Raw genomic sequence first — 21,106 nt, 5'->3', positions numbered from 1 at the left:
AATCAGTTCTCTTTCAATTGGTGCTTTCACATATAACCAAAATAATAACTGAAGACTATGATGATAACACTGAGATTCTTCGCAGTCACTGTGTCATTACAGATAAAACTGTGTTTTCAGCATAGTATCAATGTTAGGTGTAATTGATTATGGTCTGCATTAAAAAAAAAACTCATTATCCATGGACATTGACTTAGTTGAAACAAAATAGTTAACCAAAACCATATCTTCCAGATTATTAAGCATAAAGGAAAATTCTAGCAAGGGTTTTTACCTGGAACACCAACTTGAATTCAGAAGTGCCTTTGTCAAGCAGTAGATTTGAACAAATGTTCTCTACATCTCCTTCCTATTCTAGGATTTTATAAAAAATGTGTAGAAAGGATACCTAAAAAAAATAATATGCAGAAAGGAGAAAGCCCATGCATTTTAATCACCAGGAAAAAGAACTACAATAGTGTATTAAAAATAATGAAAGTGGTGATCATATTTTTATTTCTTCAAAAACATGTAATTATGAACAATTACAAATATATACAAAATTAAAAAAAAAAACACTCAGGTACCCACTACCCAGATTTAACACATCTTAACATTTTGCCATGTCTCCTTAAGGTTTTCTTTTTCTTTTTTTTTTTTCATAAATAAAGAAAATAAGATAAAGCTAAACCTCTCTTCCTGTCTATTTCCTCCTGTAAACACATCTAATAGCATTAATTTAAGCGTACCCTTAGAATGACCCTATCTGGCAGATGCACCTGAATGTGTGCTCTGAGTTAGAGAATCCAGGAGTGACCAGCCCAGAGATTCATTCCTTGTCTATGAGGAACATCTGAGCCCCCTGCCTGTCCCATGGAACACGGGCTGTTAGGGAATTGAGGCCCTGAGTTTTGGGTTAAATGAAGGTTGCCAGATAAAGGTCGTTAGGGGGAGGGTATTAAGTGAAGATGCCGTATCAGCTGCATGCTGTTTGCAAGTGGTTGTGGTTTTCCTGTCCAGCCCACCACCACTTGACAGTATGTAAGCCTCCAATAAAACCCCATGTTTTGTATGTAAGCCTCCAGTAAAACCCCATGTTTTGTATGTAAGCCTCCAGTAAAACCCCATGTTTTGTATGTAAGCCTCCAATAAAACCCCATGTTTTGTATGTAAGCCTCCAGTAAAACCCCATGTTTTGTATGTAAGCCTCCAGTAAAACCCCATGTCTTGTTTGCTGGCTCCCAGTCTCTTCTTCAGCCTCTTGAATCTGGTGCCATCCCTACTGAGGTTGATAGGGGTTTGGCACGACACCTCCCTACTCCCCTATCTCCCAAGAATTACCATTATTCTGAAGCTGATCTATGCATGGCAATGTTATGTGCCCATAACAATAGATAGTAAGATTTTATGAGATTTTGGGATCTGTCCAAGTGCTGTCATGCGGTATACATCCTGTTCAAATTACCTGTTTTTCACTCAACATTTCTTTTTGAACTTTATCTGTTCAGACACATCTAGATGTATTAGATGCATTCCAAAATGTAATTATCTCACAATTTATTGAACCATTTCTTTACTGAGTTATTTCCTTCAGTGTTTTGCTATAGCAACTCTGCCAACACTACCTTTATATACACAAAGGGTTTCCTAGATTATAGGGAATGTATATCTTCTACTTTAGTAGATATTGCCAAATTGCCCTCCAAAGTGATTATACTGATTTATCTGTTTACTAACATGCATATTTTCATGTAATTTTGGCTATGTGCCTTTTTGACGAGTTGGCTTTTCATAATCTGTGCCCGTTTTCCTATTGGATTGTTTCATAGTGATTTGCAAATATATATATATATATATTCTTTTGATGGTTGCATGCATTGAAAAGATTTTCTCCTTGTATTTGGGTTGTACTTTTAATTAGTTCATTTAATATGTATTATTTTAACTTGAATGTAATCAATGTTTCTATCTTGAGAGGTAGTATAGAGCCAGAATGCCTGGGTTCAACTGACACCTCTACCACTTACCACACAAGATATGGAAGATAATAGTCTCTCTAGGCCTCTGTCTTTTATGAAGATTATAATAATAACTGCTTCATAGGTTTTCATGAGAATTACAAGAGTTAGTTAGATTATATATTCAGAATATTGTATAGTACATAGAATAGCTTAATAAATATTGGCTTATTATTATTTTACTTTATGGTTTGTACTTTTTATGTCTCATTTAAGAAACACTTATCTTCCCTGATATAAAAACATTTTTCTTAAATTTTCTATTAAAAGTTTTAAAATTTTGCTTCTACATGGATCCATCTGGAATTTATTTTTAAGTGTAGTATGGGTAGGAAGTCTATTTTTTTCTCACATGAATAGCCACTTTTTAGCAGTATTTATTGATAGCTTAACTTTTTCTCATAATGCTACCTCTGCCATGGACTCCCCAAATATTTATGTTTTGACAATGGAGTCTCAATTCTACTCCAATGGTCTATTTGTCAATAGCATACTGTTATATTTTCTGTAGCTTTATAACACACCTGCAGATGTGGTAGTATGAGTCTTCCCTCCTTATTCTTCTTCTAAATTTCCTTGATTATTCCTGGCCGTTTTCTCTTACACATGAATGTTAGGACCAGGTTGTCAAGTTCTGTGGAAAGTTTCACTAGTTCACTTTGGATTTGAGGGAGGTTCAATTACAAGGCTGTATTTTAAGGAAGTTCATTTGCACTACATGGCAGGCAGTGTGTTAAGTGGAAAGAGCCCAACTAAGATTTGAAGACTTGGGTCATAATTTGCAACTATCCAAGCTCCCGTGGACAAGCCCCTTCTTAACTCTGGGCTTCAGTTTCCTCACCTGTAGAACAGCCTAGCTCTTGATCATACAATAGCAGACCAAAACCATGCTTCTCAGAGAATAACTCCTGGAAGCGCTGCCTCAGCATCACTGGGGAGTTCCTTAGAATTGAAAAATAGAATCTGAGTCTTGAGGATGGAGCCCAGAAATCAGCTCCCCAGGTGCTTCTTCGGCATGGTGGATGGGTAATTTAATGTGTCAGTTTGGCTAAGCTACAGTACCGGGATATTTGTTCAAACATTATTCTAGAATTTTCTATGAAGAAATTCTTCAAATAAGATCAACATTTAAATCAGTTGGACCTTGAGCAAAATAGATTGCCCTCCATAATGTGGGTGGGCCTCATCCAGTCAGTTAAAGGCCTTAATAGAAAAAAGACTGACCTTCCCTTTGGATTCTAACTGCAACTCTTCCCTGGATCTGCAGTCTACCCTACAGATTTCAGACTTGCCTATCCCCACAATTACATGACACTCCAATTCCTTAAAATTTCATAAAATAAATTTCAATTCCCTAAAATAAATCTCTCTCTCTCTCTCTCTCATTCTTTCTCTCTCTCTCTCACTCTGTCTCAGGTTCTGTGAAAAAGTCTACTAGTTCACTTTGGATTTGAGGAAGGTTCCAATACACTTCCTATTGCTTCAGTTTCTCTGGGGAGTTCTGACGAGTACACACGGTAAAGTTTGAGAAGCTCACCCTGCAATGTACTTGGCATTAATCCATCCTTTTATGTATGACTTGTCCAAATTCACCTATTTATGGAAGAACTGTGTCTAGAATCTAGGTCACAGGATGCCCAGTTCTCTGTGTTTTGTTGTTTAATAAAACATGCTATAAAGAAAATAAACTGTTTATGTTGAGTGGGTGAGTTAAGGAGAGCAGAAATTTTATTTTCACAGTGAATTAATTTAAGTGTTCCTTTTAAATAAGGAGTTCGCTTGGTAATTCATTTATAAATTTCTATATGCTTGACAGAAAAAGTATCAGCAGGGGACTGAACTGTTAGAGCTAAATACCCATTTAAGGCTGAATCATTAATGAAAATAAAGTATCTCTGAAATAAAAACATAAGACTTCATAGGTTTTCAATGTAAGCATCTTTTAGCAAAATATTTGGTTGCCCTATACAATTTAAGAAGCTTTTTTTTTTTTTTTAATGAAGCCATAGCCCTAAGTGTAGAAATAAGCTGTGCATCCTCATTTGCCTGGGCCCAGAAAGCACTTCATGGGGGAAATTAGGCCCTGGGGATGTGAGAGACCTCACTGTCTTAGTTAGGGATCTCCAGAGACACAGAACCAATAGAATATACAGTGCATAGATACATAAGAGGAGAGTTTATTATGGGAATTGGCTCACATGATTGTGGAGGCTGAGAAGTCCCACGATATGCCATCTGCAAGCTGAAGAAACAGGAAAGTCGGTGGTGTGATTCAGTCAGGAGGCTGAGGAGGAGTGGGCACTGGTGTAAGTCCTGGAGTCTGAAGCTCCAACATCCATGGGCAGGAGAAGACAGATGACCTAGCTCAAGAGGAGAGAGACTGAATTTACCCTTCCTCTACCTTTTTGTTCTATTCAGTCTTTCAGTTAATTGGATGATGCCTGTTCACATTGATGAGGCCTGTTCACTATTCAGAGACTGAATAGTCTACTGATTTAAATGCCAATCTCTTCCAGACTCCCCGCCCCCGCCGGCCACAGTGCCAACCCCGGCCCCCACAGACACACCCAGAAATAACATTTTATTAGCTATCTGGGCATCCCTTAACCCAGTCAAGTAGACATATAAATTAACCATTACACCCACATCCAAATAAGAAGGGAGAGTGTGTATATGGAGCTCTAGACTTCATGCACTTCCCGCCCACATACCTAGGATGTGGGGAAAACAGCACACAAGGATGTAGGGTTAGCACACAGGAAAAGATTCCATTATGTGAGCATTTTGAGATAATGGAATATACTCCACATGACCCATATCCAAATTCCTACCCAACAGGTCAATGACCTTTGTAGTCCCTGCTAGGTCTCACATTTTATGTTTCTAAATGTACGAACCTATTACTGGCAAAGAGATTCTGCTGACTTGGACTCAATAATGGATGAGGCCTTAGCAAGTAACCAGTGGATTTAGCAAAAGGAAAATTAAAAAGAGCATCTTTCCAATTGGCAGATCTGTTTTCTCACTGTGTGAAGCACAAAACACACAAAACCATGACTACTTATAACAACTGGGAGAGTTTGCAGAGAGTGAGACTAATCCTCTCATGTGGAATACGAGCTTGGACACACAGACATGTATAACCTTTTATCTTCACTGAAAAGTCTTCTGTGTTTTCAAATGGCTCTGGCTTGGCTGGGGCTGAACCGGGGCCTTAGGAGAAATTAGGCACTGACTCTCTTGCTAGGGTGGGGAGGCTGCACAGAATCAGTGGGAGAGGCACTGGAACACTGCATGAATATTTATAAGTAAAAATGTGTCAGAAGAGCTTAAAGAACTTCTATCCCCAACCCTCCAAGAGACAAAAGAATTGTCCAAGGAAGACAGCTGACTGAATTTTTTAAGCTTTGGATATTTTTAAACCTATTATTTTTAAATGGCACCTCTCCTCCCAGCCATTGAATGGGGAATTTCAAACATACAGTACCCCATCCCCTGCCTTTATCAGTTGTCCTCTTAGGGACCCTTTTGGGAAACTTTCTTTTGAGCTTATCAAACCCAACTCTCCAAAGGGAAGTCAACAAAGCCAGCGTGTTTCAGAAATGCATATGCTGTCATTAAAATAGCTGTCCGTTCTCCCAGAGTGCCTCCCATAAAAGCATTTTAATTCTCTAACGAAAATGTAGTTCAGCCTTTATTCTGCAAAGCCAATTTGTTTATGTTTCCAAGTTCAATCACAATCTATTTGTAAAACCTATTTAGAATCAGAGTCACATAGCCAGAAATGATCATGCTCTAATTTCCTTATTAGAGAGATTCTTGTTGCAGCTGGCAGCTTGATTTGACTGCTCCCAGAGTCTGGAGCGACATGTTCTTAACCTCTTTTCTCGATTTTGTTCATCATTTCTTTTAGCTTTTTTCCCCCAACATACAAATATTAAGACAGAGAAGAATAATTCCAAACCCTGTTGCTAAGATGGAGGTAAAATAAGAGACTACCACCTTTTTACCTATGGAAAAAAAAATGAACAAAATTGGGCAACTCAGAATATCTGCAGGGAAAAGAAAAGGAAGAAAAGGTTCACAAAATACACCATGACAAGAAAAATGCTTTAGGATGCAGATGAAAGGTCAATTATTTCAAAAGACTTGAAGGGCTGATGTTTTCTGGATAATTGAATCCAGATTAAAGCAGAACACCAAGGCAGCATTCAAGAAAACTTCTTATTTCATCTACTTTTTTTCTTTAAAAATTTTCTTTATAAAACAGGTGAGTCAATCTCTCTGATGCAGCCATATATGTCTTTTCAAGACAATTTAAAAGTTCTCTGATGATGCAGGGTCCTGAGGTACTCAATGCCTGCTGCTTCAGTTGGTGAAGTCTTACTCATCCTTTAAGGCAGTGGTCCCCCACATTTTTGGCATCATCGGGTCCGGTTTTATGAAAGACAATTTTTCCATGGACTGGGGTTGGGGGGATGGTTTCAGGATGATCCAGGTGCATTACATTTATTGTGCACTTAATTTCTATTATTATTACATTGTAATATATAATGAAGTAATTATACAACTCACCATAATGTAGAATCAGTGGGAGCCCTGAGCTTGTTCTCTTGCAACTAGACAGTCCCATCTGGGGGTGATGGGAGATACTGGCTGATCATCAGGCATTATAGTGGCTAAAGTAATGTCATATCATAAGGGTCACCCCTGTAATAGATTTTCAATTGGCTACCACCTTTCTCAAACTAGATTGAGAAGCAACATGGTCTACCAATAAGTAAGTGTCAGATAAATGTGTAATACTTGTCACTGAGCACTAAGCTTGTTCTCCAAAAGAGTCTGCAGTACAGGGAACCAGGCAAAATGGAATGTTCCAGATCTCAAAATGGAGTTTTAATTTGAATTGGGCAAATCTAGCCCTCCTTAAGGCCATAGAATGGTTTCCACAAACATCCAATCTAGTATAATCTCTTCATTCATGCTTCCAAGTCTCTTTGGGATTGCTCAATGATCCACTCATTCTTTCTGTTTTTCTCTCATCCCTCTCTCTCTGTTGAAATGCCACCTCCTCCATGAATACCTTAAGACATGCTGATAATTGCCCATTCAATATTCATTCATTCACCCCCTTTTTCTTACTAATTTATTCAAGGTACAAGTGTCCAATTTAAAATAATTTTCCAGACCCCCAGCAATGACCATATGACCCAGTTTTGGCCAAAGTGATGAAAATGAGATTTACTGGGCAGAATTTACAAAAACTTTTTTTTTTTTAAAGAACAATTCATCTGGCATGCTCTTTTGCCCTTTAATCTTGGTCTTTACCTTTTTCCATCTTCTTGTCTGGGACCTGGACTTAGCATTTGGAAGTATAGCAGCCATTTTGCAATGTTAAGAACTGTAAACTAAGGATAATTAAATTGTAAGATTAAAGGAATTTGGACTTTTGATGACATTGCAGATTCACCCCACTAGTCTTAGACTGCCTAACTCTAATCTTCTGTGACATGGGACTAGTAAACTCCTTTCCATTTAAGCCACTCTTTTTTGGGTTTTGTTGCTTGCAGCTATAAACAATCCTGACTGATACACCCTTCATAATCAATTGAGAGGCTCATAGTAAATTTGTCTGGGATTTTCCCTGTCCAAACATACAACTCCAATAACTCCTATTTCACTCTCCACCTATATTAGTCAGGATTCTCCAGAGAAATAGAAAAAAATATATATATGAACATTTTTAATTTTATGTTGTTTAAAAAATACATATTTTTAAGGAATTGACTCATGCAATTATGGAAGCTTAGAAGTCTTAAGATCTGCATTCAGAAAGCTGTAGACCTAGGAGAGCCAGTGATGTAGCCAGTCCAAGTCTGAAGGCCTGAGAACCAGTCCAGGGGATGCAGCAGTCCCAGCCCAAAAAAAAAGGAAAAGACTGATGTCCCAGCTCATACAGGTAGGGGGAGTTTCCTCTTACTCAACATTTTGGCCTATTCAGGTCTTCAGTTGATTGGATGAGGCCCACTCACATTAGAGGACATCTGCTTTACTCAGTCTTCCAATTCAAATATTAATCTCAATTAGAAACACCCACACAAACTGCTATGGTTGGCTCTGTTTTCCCATCCAAATCTCATCTCGAATTGTAATCCCCACAGTCCCCAAGTGTCAAGGGAGGGACAAGGTGGGAGGTGATTGGATCATGAGGGCGTCTTTCCCTGTACTGTTCTCATGATAATGAGTTCTCCCAAGATCTGACGGTTTTATAAGGCAGTGCACCCCGCTGTTGCGTGCTCTCTCTCTTTATCACCTGCCACCATGTAAGACGTGCCTCTTCCCCTTCTGCCATGATTGCAAGTTTCTGAGGTCTTCCCAGTCCATGAGAATGGACTAATACACAAACATACCCAGAATAATCTTTGGCCAAATATCTGGGCCCCCTATAGTCCAGTTTGACATCAAATTAACCATCAAAACCACTCCATCACCTTCCCTTACATGAATGTTTGGCAGGCGTTGTCCGAGACACTGGTAATCCATGTAAATGAAATTCCTGGAGATTATCAAAGCCCTCTGATTTTTAACCATTTTTAGGGTTGCCAGATAAAACATTTTCATTTGCTAAATCTAGGAACCCCATTTTGTTTGGAAACATCTAAAATGTTTTCCATGCTTTATCGTTACCTTGAACATTTTATAGTTTTTATATTTTCTGCATGTTGCTGTGATTACTACCTTGTGCTTCCTATACAATGCTCTTTATTGATACTTACTGATGTGTTTCCCCTGTATTACATTTTTCCAATCCACACAGTTTTTGGAATATATAAATGAATATATCAGTATGCATATAAGCATGTGTACACACACACACACACACACACACACACACACTTTCTCTTCTTGCCAGCTGGCACTGCTTTACTGTCAGAATGCCTGTCAACAACATCTTGACCTTTGTCTATACAATTTACTGCTGCTAATCTGTTTTTAATATGCCTATGTTAGAATTTTGTCTAAAATAAAAAATGACTCTAAAGAATGATTTGAAGGACTAATTTATTAGTAAAAATGATGGACTTGGTAACATTTATTTTGACTGCTCCATCACAGAAATGTTTCTGGGCTCCTGGTTCTGGATTGTGTTTGGTTGTAGTACTTGTATATTCAAGTGATCTCTTAATCAGAGAGGTACAGCTATACAATTTGTCTCTTTCAATATTTGCCCATTCTGTTTGTGTGTATGCATGCCTGTACATGCTCATGCATATGCGCACACACACACACACACACAGACATACACATATAATCAGGAGTTATTTGATAGTTTTTGTGTCCTTAAAAATTTACCTATATGAGCATTATCTGTGTTAGCATTTAAGCTCTTAAATGACAGGGAACAATTTTATTGAATTCACTTGACATCCCAGCATTACTCATTAGCTGGGCTTAACCAGTGGTCTCTGTTGGTGTGAATTCCCTCTATATTCTTGCTACTATGCAAGGACCCAAGGCCTGGAAGCACAAGCCTAGCCAGGGAGCTTGTTAGAAATGTAGACTCAGAAAACCTTCCCCAGACCTACTGAATGAAAATCTGCATTTTAACAAGTTCCCCAAGTGATGGTTTATCAAACTTTAGTGAGTCTCAGAATCCCCTGGAGGGCTTGTTAAACCACAGGTTGCTGGGCCCACCCTCATCATTTCTGATCCAGCAGGTCTGAGGTAGACTCTGAGAATTTGCATTTCTAACAAGTTCCCAGGAGGTTCCCAGGTATTGACAACGGGTCTTTGGACCACACTTTTGAGAGCTTCTGCTCCAAAGGAAACATAATAACAGAACTGGCCAAAATCTATTGGCTTAATAACAAGAGGTCTGCATTTTAGCTTTTATTCATCAAGCTGTGTGACCTTGAGAAGGTCTTTTTTGGTCTTTTTTTTTTTTTTCTTGTGGGTAAATAAAACAATGTGAGGATCGAGTGTAGCACAGTGCTTGTCTTCTCAACATCTGTTTACATGCCTACTCTCTCCCCTCTGCACTGTCAGCTCCTTGAAACCAGGAAGCATATTTTATAATCATTTTATCCTCAGTGAGACCATGAAGTCTCTTTCTTGAATGAGTGAATAAATGAGCAAATAAAGAAATGAATCCAAGACATGAGATGATAATGGTTGTAAAAGTGTCTTTAAAATGAAGGGTATTTTTATTATTGTTGTATATGGTGCCTAATTCTTTAAGATGGCTGATAAACTACTGTAGTTTCAAGGACATCTATAATAATAATAACAACAATTGCAGCAACTAATTTATATGGTAGTATTAGGCTCCATGCAAAAAATAATAATTGGTGGGGAAGACATTTTCAAAATACTGAGTCCAATATGCATGGAAACTGTAAGACACCAAGAGGCATGATTTGGTGTGTGTAGAGAAATGAGGATTGGAACGATAAAACCAGACTCAAGGCTAGTCAAAAGTTCTAGCAAACTGGCAGCCAACTTCTGCATTAAGGTTGCTGCAGCTTGGGTGAGTCAGAGGACTTTGGGGGAAAGAACTCTGCAGTTTGAAGCTTAGCAATTTTGCTCTCTTTCTGGAGGAGGGTTGGAGAAGTAAGCAATCATGGGAGGGGCTGGGAAAGCCCATGTTTGCCTGTATCCCATCCCCTATCTGTGCCAGGTTCCTCTTGGTTTATATGGCAGATGCACCCAACAGCGATAACTTAAGCATACTCTGAGAGTGACCCTATGGCTTAAGAAGAATATGTGTTCGGAGTTCTCAGCTAAGGAATCTGGGAGTGGCCAACCCAGAGATTCATTCCTCATCAATGAGGAACATCTGAACCCTCAGCCCACCCCATGGAACACAGGGCGTGCAGGGGATTGAGGCCCTTTGTTCTGGGTTAAAATTTGCCAGCAAAGGCTGCTAGGGGAAGGATGTTAAGTGAAAATAAGCTGCATGTTTTTTACAAGTGGTTGTGATTCTGTCCGGCCCACTGCCACTCAGTTGCCCTGTATCTAAGTCCCCTCCATAAACCCTGTATCTTGTTTGCTGGCTCTAGGTCTCTTCTTTGGCCTCTCAAACATGGTACCATCCCTCTGAAATTAATAGGGTCCTGGCATGACATGGTTCCTTGCACAACCTTCAGGTGCAACTCAAAGCTCTGAGCCAGGCCTTAGCTCTCTAACTCTGATTCCACAGATCCTGCTATTTCCAAGGGACTCAGCCTGGCTTAGAATTCTGTTCCCAGCTGACCTTGTTGTATACAAGGTCTGACCCCAGGAGAGTTTCCAACTTTTTTGTCATCTTGGAAACTGTGAAAGTTTCCCTGCAGGCCACAACCTTACCACATCTGATTGCAATAAAACCAAGAAGCAAATGTTTCTGCGCCAAGAGAATATAACTTTTACAAAGGAAGATTTGATCAACAGCTCTCTACGTAAGAATATGAGCAGCTGAATGTGATCAGGAACTGGCAATATCATTTTATTAAGGGAGAGTAGATGCCCTTGGTACTTGAGAACTCAAATCTGTTTCTTTCCAAAGTTTTCATTTTCCCCTGCCTTGTGCATCTGTCACCTACTTGCTTGTATTGATTAAAAAAAAAAAAAAGAAGAAGAAGAAAAGAAAAAATTTAGCCTATGTCTAGGCTACAACGTGGTACGGTTTAATTCATGTTTGGAAAGTAGTAGAATTTATTCGATGAAAGGTGTTGGCTGTCACTCAGAGTCTTACAGCACAATTTCCTAGTGTTTATTGAGGTTTTAAAGTGAAATAAAATTCAATTGGATCTGAAACACTGCTGATGGATGACTTTTTATTTAATAAGTTAAGGAAACTATAGCATGAGATTCACTTAAGCACCTGAGTGCATCTGTGATATTGTTAAACTATAACCCAACATATCTGCAGAAGAAAAAAGGTTACAAAGCCCAGAAAAATGGGTATCAGCTTTCTATCAACAGATAATAGTAACGACGATTGTGGGTTCCTGAGAGGTATGGCAGTAGAATCACCAGGATTCCCTGGTGTTTTAGGCAATTTACGTAGGAAAGTTGAATGTTGCTACAACTTGTATTTGAATTTGCAGTGGAAATTGGTAAATCTAAGGAACAGAACATTTAAGCACAATGTGGGTGTAGCAAACACAAACATTTATGTATTTACGTGTGCAAATTAGTATAAACATTTGATGGGCTTCGAATTATTTTGAATGGCTTTTCCTTCTCTCTGATGAAACTGAATTGTCACAGTCTCCAAGCCCTCATGCTTCTCCAAGAGCTAGAGCGGCTCAAGCCCTCCTCAGTGCATACCTACTCTTATTTGAGGCATAGTTCTAACGAGTTTGTTTAGGTGGTTTCTAAACCCACGACGTGTGAGAGGTGGGAAATTAGATCAGGGAGTAGCCAGTTACTCATTCTCTGAGTCTGTTTCCTCTGTAAAATATGAATCATAACAGAACTTAACCTAAAGGGTTGTTCAGAGGATCAAATGAGATAATGTAAGGAAAGCACTTCGCACATTTACAAAGGTTGATGTAGGAAACACTTTGACCTAGAAGAGGTCCTGACAATCGAATGATCTTCACACCTCATTTTGAAAATTAGGAAAATGAGTTCCAGAGACGTCAAATGTAAAAGCCAAACATTGGCAGAACAGGAAATTTGATGAAAGGAAAGAAAAACTTTTGGAGACCTAGTCTATACCAGGAATATCACATCTGCATCATTTGTGAGCCTCAGAAAGTTCTATAAGTTATTATCTCTGTTTTCTGGAAGAATAAAGCTCAGAGAGGTCCAGTGCGTAAGGCCACACAGTCAGTGTGTGCTGGAACTGGGTTGTACACCCAGACTTGCTTGACTTCAAAGCCCATGCTCATTCCTCTTTCCTACTCTGTCTTAACTCTGTCTTATGTAACCAACTTGATAGTGGGTATAAAATGCTTAAAACAAACCAGAACACTCTGGAGGTATTATTACTGGGGTTAAATCTCTTTAATTGTATCATAGAGGTATCCAATGGAATATTCACTTTTTAGCTGAAATCCCAATATTAACGTTTCTTTTTAGCAAAGGCAGGGAAATGTGGCTCTCTTCACAGCCTTAATATGGCAGAGAATGCTAATAGAGGAGAGAAACACAGACAGGGCATGGAGGGCACAGTTCTGAGCAGACAGAGTCACAGTGCCATGTAAACAAACCCAGAGAGAGGCATTTCTGGGCAATTAGAGGCAGGTTATTTTGCAGAAAGTATTGGCGGGAGCCAATCTCTATAGAAATCAACAGACAAAGAATGTATTTAAAGCAAAATCTAAGAAATAGCAGAGATGGAGAATAAGCTCCAGATAGCATCAAAGTTCCACAAAGAGCTGCCACCATTCTAGCACTGGCTGCCCATCACCAAAACAGCGGAGGAGCCACAAGGACCAGCAGAATCTGATAGTGGACAAGTCCTGCTCATTTATAAGCAGCAATGACTCCTTTAGTCACAGAAGAAACTGGAGCTTTTCACTAGTCCACATTCACCATGTATTTTTTGAGGGATGGTTATCATTTATCACATGGGATTCGAAATCAGACAGCTGGGTGTGAATCCCAGCTTCACTCATTGTCAGCTTTACAACCTGGGGCAAGTTCCCTAACCTCTCTGCGTGTACTTCAGTTTCCTTATTTATAAAATGGGTTGAAAACTCGTGCCCATACCACATGATACTAAATAACCCACAGTATTACTGGGAGAATGAAATAAGTAAATAAGGGCATGCATGGCAGTTGGAATAGTTCCTGGCACAGAGTGAGAGCTGAATAAATCTTAGCTGTTATTATGACCTCGTAGAGTTGCTTAGAGGAAAAGATGAGATAGAATTCTTGCCTGGCATGTGGTAAGTACTTGAAAAATGTTTGCCATTGTTTTATACTTGATGTATTTATCATATACAGGTTTAATGGACATTTATTGTTAAATTCATCAAGTCCTAGGTTAACGAATCCAGATATAATTGTAGATAGATATCGGACTTGGCTAAACCCTACCTGACCTTTGCCGCTAAGATTCTAGTACACAGAATGGGCAAATGGGAAGTGCCAGCCCCCTACCCCCACCTCCACCATGACAAAGGCTGTTCTAGAAAAAGATTTCTTTCCAGTGCCTGCAATGTAATCCATCAGTATGAGATTGTGGTACACTTTCTTTTCCTGATAACTTTGGTAATTAAAGGACACCAAACACCCATCATGATTCAGCATTCTCTCCCAAAAAATCATATGGATTAAAGGCATCACAGTATCTATATGGCATCTGATCCTTTCCCATGAACCTCTTCCAAAATTCTCCTGCAGGAAGCAAGCCCTAACCTGCAGTGTCTTGGAGTGGGAAGCTCTAATACTGTCAACAAAAGATACTTTATTTAAAAAAAAACCATAACTGATCCTAATACGCAAAAGCTGAGAAAGATGAAAGTAGTGAAAAAGTAGCAGGAAAATATACGGACTGTCTTTGCACGAGTCAATTGAGATTCAGAATGAGGTTCACACAAAGGCCACCCTCCAACTGAGATTTACATGGTCTAAGTAATAAAGCAGCCACGGGGGAAAAACTCACTAACAAAAATGTTGCTTCCTCTGCTGCCTGACTGCAGTTGGAGAATGCAAGAAGCCGTGTGATCCCCAGAGAAAGTAAGAGAATGTGCGGTGCATAAGGAAGGGGTTAGGGAGGAGAGCCAGATCCAAAGGCTCCACTTTAACCTGAGAAGTACTGAAATTATCAAGAAGCAAAGAAAGCCTTGGCACCCTGTGGTCCATGATAAATAAAGCAACATGAACCATGTGACAAATCAGATGCCAGCAAAAAGTATGCTGTCTCTGGCCATCTTTTCAAACCTACTAAATCAACATCCCAAAGGCAAAGCGTCCATGATACTAAATAACCCAGTCTTAAAATGTCCAGTGTGAAGTTTGTTTGCTTTTTTGTTTTAAAGAAGCAGCTTTGTATTCTCAGGCTGTGTCTATATGCAATTGCTTTGATCATTTTCAGTGACACGGGCAGTCGATGCAATTGAACCAAATCAAATAAGAAGTGTCCTTGGTCAAACAGCTTGTTGGATCTGAGTGGCGCACTTCTCTCAGAACCTTCACACAGGTGAAGATTGCAGTATGGCTGGCCAGCCAGTCAGGCAGTCCATCATTCAGTCAGGATATCTACATCTCCTATGGAAGAGTCCTCAGGGTACAGTGTGGCTCCAGTGGAAACCCAATTTAAAGTGGTTACCAGATGACCAGCCTGGGGCCTCTCTGTCCAAAATACAGAGAACCTTGGGGCTGCGTCTTTAGTTTAACATGACTATCAGCCACTTTGATTTCTCCTGGCAGGAAAAGTAAAAATGAAAATTGCGCATATCCTGCTTTTGACGTAATGAAACATTTCATAAACTGAAAATCTTGGGATCCAATTATAAAGGCCAAATTGCTATTTTACTCACTAAGATAAATAGCTATGGTCTCCTTGATCTTGTCCTTTCTAATTTACCTTATCTCATGGATTCCTCACAATAACTCCATGGAAAGTATTTGTTCTAGTCAGGGATCTGTTGGTTGTGGTAACAGAAGCTCAATTCAGCTCAAGAAAACAGAAGAATAGGGGTTGGGGAGATGACTGTACAGTTATAGCGTAGTCTCACAGAATCTAGGAAAAGCTGACTGAACCATCAGGCTTCAGGACAGACAAAGTTGCCATGGTTCTCTCCTTCCACCACACCTCCCTTGAGTCAAGTGCCTACCTTGGTCTCAGCAGCCTCCATTTGGAGGCAGGATCACATGGTTAAAGCAAGAGGTGTCCAATTATCAGGGCCAAAGTGAAGGTCATATTGCTGAAGAAGAGGGCAGAAGCAAAGGATTACCCCCAAACAATTCAAATACAGCAATATGATATCCATTTGTCCCATTAAAAAAACAGGCACAGAAGAGTCAGGAGGGTTTAGTTATATGGCTAGCAAATGGCTCAGGCCTTTCAAGACCATAGGTGTTGAATTCAGACAGGTTTAACTTTTAATCCTACAGCTCGCTTGCTGTTGGCTCCTGGGCAGGTTATTTAATCTTTTTGCTTCCATTTCCTTGCCATTAAAATGGGCTCATGTCAAAGGTTTGTTTTTAGGATTAATTAAATGAGATAATTTATGTAACCCATCAAATTTAGTGCCTGGAACGTAGTAGCGCGCGCACACACACACACACACACACACACACACACACACAAAATAGCTTTTCTCTCACCTCTGAAACCATGTCCTAAGCTGCATGACCGTTTTACCATTGAATTACACATGGTCTCCTGATGTTCTTCTTCCATGCCTATGTGCTGCCACTCCCAAAGACTGCCAGCTTCCTGGGGACCATGTCTCATTTTTCTTGCATCAGACACTGGGGCTGGCTGAGCACATTGGCAGTCTCTTCAAATTCTTGTGGAATTAAACTGGCTGAATCAGTTTGCATGTCACTTCTTTTCCTAGAAAATCCCCTGAGGACCATGTACCATCTTGGTTTTATTGAGTCTTTCTCAGGCTATCTACTTCTCTGGAACACCAACCTATTTTTCCCTCTTTTCACTTCTCTCTTTCTTTCATGCAGCTCCACCTGGAGGCCAGTGGCTTCAGTTTGTCACAAAGACAAATTTATTACAGCAAAAAAGTGCCCCCTACTCAAGAGCTGTTCAACTCCAGAAGACTCCAAATGAAGAGAAGGGATCCTGAATTCTGCTTCTTGGGTATGTTATCATGGGATTTATTTGTTGTGGTGTGGAGTAGAGGGCGGGCAATCTTTATGCCAATAGATAATTGAGTAGTGTTTAAAGTGGAGAAGTACTTTTATTTTTTTAATTTTATGTATTGATTTTATTTATTTTATTATACTTTAAGTTCTAGGGTACATGTGCACAACGTGCAGGTTTGTTACATATGTATACATGTGCCATGTTGGTGTGCTGCACCCATTAACTTTTACATTAGGTATATCTCCTAATGCTATCCCTCCCCCCTCCCCCCACCCCACGACAGGCCCTGGTGTGTGATGTTCCCCTTCCTGTGTCCATGTGTTCTCATTGTTCAATTCCCACCTATGAGTGAGAACATGTGGTGTTTGGTTTTTTGTCCTTGCGATAGTTTGCTGAGAATGATGGTTTCCAGCTTCATCCATGTCCCTATCAAGGACATGAACTCATCCTTTTTTATGGCTGCATAGTATTCCATGACATATATTTATTGCAGCACTATTCACAATAGCAAAGACTTGGAACCAACCCAAATGTCCATCAATGATAGACTGGATTAAGAAAATGTGACACATACACACCTTGGAGAAGTACTTTTAAAGCAAGTATTCACATTATGAGAATATATCAGGTAGGAAGTTGATAATTGCTTGTCCAAAGATGTCTTCACATTAGTCATCTCACAATCTTCTGTGAGTTATATGCAAAGTCTAGATAACAACACAGTGCTTAAAAATCTCCTAGACAAGGTTCTGACTTTGAAGAAAGATATAGCATAAGGATGCATTAAAGATAGAATTAGGAAGGGGAAGAAAACTCATATATGACAAACATTATCATGTGTCTGCATTGAATTAGGCACTTTTCATGCAGTATTTCATTTTCCTATAGCAATTTTGCAAGATTGGTAATATAATCCTAATTTCAGAGGTGAGAATTATAAAGTTTATTGCCATAGGCTATACAATTAGTAAGGTGATATGCTGGGACCCAGCAAGAGGGTAGCAATAAGAAGATACCAAGTCAATCTTGCTTTCTCATACTGTTCATTTCCCTTTTTCATGCTTTAGGCAACACAACTTGACCACTGTGGACTGAGAGAGAAGAGTGGTCATCAAGGTGATTGGCTGAGTAGAACAGAAAGGAGGAATGGAGTTGTTTAGAAACCAAGCCACTGGATTGGCCATCATTCCAATGGAAAGTTTTGCACCACAGGTTTGCAGCTATTGAAAGACCATTCTGATTATTGCAAAATGATTAGCACATAGGCTTTTGAATCAAATTGAACTGGGCTCTGCCCTTTATTATATGTCCTTGGGCAAGTTACTTAACCTTGCTAAGTCTCCATTTTCTTACGTGTTAAAAAGGAGGATAATATTAGTAATTACCTCATAAAACAATTGTGAAGATTAAATGCAATAGCTTGTATGAAGTGATCCTTGTTTAGCATCCTGGTTCATAATAAGTACTCCAGAAATGTTAGCTGCCATCAATAGCGCATAATTTTAAAGAAATGGGCATTTTTTTATTACTGGAATTGCTGCAAAGATGACAAATAGACATCCTTCCTTAATAAAGGGATGTGATTCGTTTACAAATAGCAGCACACATTTGCATGTAGACAATAGTGTGATAATATTCTTAAATACAGTTTGTTCAGTTTGTTCTTCTAAGAAAATAAAAACACACTGCTTCCCGTTGATCCTGAACATTTCTCCCCCTCTTACTTGTTTACATTGTTAAATTGCTTAGCAACCTCTTTTTTAGGCTTGACTAGAGACATACAATTTCAATCAAGAGCAGGACAAAATACCACAAAACTTAAATAAATATACTACTGCCACATTAAAGATAAAACATAAAAATCACATTTATTTTTAATCACATTTCTTTTATCTTCTCATGACTTTGACTTTCTGCAAATTCAAATGTTTTTCCTTCCCCATATAAGAGGTGAAGTTTGGCTTCAGTAGCTCAGCGTGTGAGTGGAAGGGTGAGGAGCATCTCGGGAAGGGATGGGTCTCTCTGCTCTCAGTTCCAGAATCCCATCTCGTCATTAATCTTGTACTTTTTCTTCCCTTACTTTGGCACTCTGGACTAGCTCAACAATCATAGAGGGGGGAAAAGTGACAGTGATCAACTTTCCCTGTAGAAAAGGATCGAAACATTTCCTTTTTATGTTTTCAAAGGACAGGAACCCAGTCTTGTCTCATTTGCTCTGTTGAGTGGAGTAATTCATGAGCCCACATCACCTAGTCCTGAAATTCCTTCAACTACCAATGTACCCCTGCCAAAAGTAATATTCTCAGCTTTCTAATAACAGCCTTTCTTACCCTCTATATTATCATCCTATTTGCCTCATCTGTAACCTTCCCCAGAGGAGCTCTCATCATTGGCAAATTATTTTAAATCCTGTTTTCAAACCAGGTAGAACAACAACAACAATAATAATAGGCAAATGTTAGATGTAATAATTGGCTCAAAAGACCTAAGTGTGTTTTCCAGTGTTTCTGAGGGTAGGTCACTTCTGAATTCCAGAATTGGAGCAAAAACTTCAGAATTGCTCTCTGTTTCAGGTAGAGCCTTCCACAATATCTTCTCTCTTCCTCTCTTTCTCTGCTCCCTGTCCTCTTGAATAATAGATGGGATCAGAAGACCTCCCTCAAGTTTACCTCAGGTCCAATTTCTAGCTTTATCGTTTTTTTGGATTTGTTTGTTTGTTTTTTGTCTTGAATACATCACTTTACAATTCTGAGCACATGCCAAAGTCCGTTCAAGCTCCAAAATTTCTGCCCCCTTATACATCTGAGAGGGACTTTCATTTCTAGATAAGAAGTAGATGGGCTGGGCCCGGTGGCTGAAGCCTATAATCCCAGCACTTTGGGAGGCTGAGGCGGGCAGATCACGAGGTCAGGAGATGGAGACCATCCTGGCTAACATGGTGAAACCCCATCTCTACTAAAAATACAAAAAAAAATTTTTTTAATTTAAAAAAAAAGAAGTAGATGGTCACAGCAGGCTAACACACACACTGTTGCAATAAGAAAAAAAAAACAGGTAAACTGAAAGCGTCATTAAAGACACTATCTTGTTGGAAGCAACAGGAACTAGATAAACTCAAGTTCCTACATGAGCTTATAATCACCAGCTGTTTGCTTCCCAAGGAGCATTTGTTCATTGCAGGTAAAGGCTGAAGATGAGATTTCGGCCAAAGAGAAGGACTTTACTGGGTAAAAGAAAAATCAGCAGAAGTTTTGGTGAATGAATGGGATTGGCATAATAGATGGGAAAATAGAAGAGTGCAAAATGCAAGGCTCATTTCCATATGTTTTGGAATGGTGGGGAAGTCTTAAAGGGGCAGAACCAGAAAGAGAAAATAAAATCTGCTGTAGTCTGCAGTGCTTGAGAAACAACATCTTGTTAGAAATACGGGTTTACAATAAATGTCCAACAATTTTTCCTCATAAACCATTTGCCAGATTTGAACCTTTGTGGCATGGATATCTAAGATACAGCCTCTAAACCTCTGAAGAGCAAACTATTTAGAACTGTGGAGACAGGTAGCTGCTAGGCTTCTCATCAAAAGCCCAAAATTGACCTCTGCAAAAATCAGGGACAAATAAAAGGTGAGCTGGGATTTGCTAAAAATTGCAACTCAACCTCCTATCCAGCACAATCTCTGCCTGTCTGCCCATCAGAGGATAGGAGGAACCCTTGCTGGTAGACATTTCATCTGAACATTTTGTTTTGTTGTTGTCATTATTTTGTTTTGTTTGGGGTTATTTTTAATACCCAATATCTGTAAGATAACTAAAAATTACTAACATGAAAAGAAAATTGAAGGTATGATTTATAATCAAGAGAAAAAAATCAAACAATAGAAGCAGACTCACAAATATAAAAATTAGCAGAAAATGACTTTAAAATAATAAAGATTATTATGTTAATGGATACAAAGGAACTAGGTATGTATTAAAGGTTAAGAGTTTCAAAGAGAATAAAAATGGCTAAGAAAGCCATATGGTTATTATGGAATTTGGAAAATATAATATCTAAACTTAGGAACTTATTGCATGAATTTAATAGCATGTGGGACATAGCATATTTAACTCAAAGACAAGATCAGTTTTTAAAAATGACCAAACTGAAATACAAATGTGAGAACTAAGATAGAATAGAAAGAATGGAAAAAAACATTACAGACATTGACTACACAGTCAGAAGATCTAATACATGCATAACCGAAGTCCCAGAACGAGAGAAAAGAGGGACTATAGAAGAAATTGTTGCAGAGAAAACAACAGAATTTTCCAAAACAAATCGAGGATATCAACCCACAGATCCAAGAACA

At 39.0% G+C, this 21,106-nt stretch overlaps 1 annotated feature.

The window, feature by feature from the left end:
• Window positions 826-1,026: a silencer, noted in NCBI's record as "peak4759 fragment used in MPRA reporter construct". NCBI's record gives its function as "represses an SCP1 promoter by STARR-seq MPRAs in K562 erythroleukemia cells {active_cell/tissue: K562}" and the evidence as "EXISTENCE:reporter gene assay evidence [ECO:0000049][PMID:32103011]".

The sequence above is a fragment of the Homo sapiens genome, chromosome 3 (genome assembly GCF_000001405.40).
Source record: "Homo sapiens chromosome 3, GRCh38.p14 Primary Assembly".
NCBI lineage: Eukaryota > Metazoa > Chordata > Mammalia > Primates > Hominidae > Homo > Homo sapiens.
This window is presented reverse-complemented; position numbering and strand designations above follow the sequence as displayed.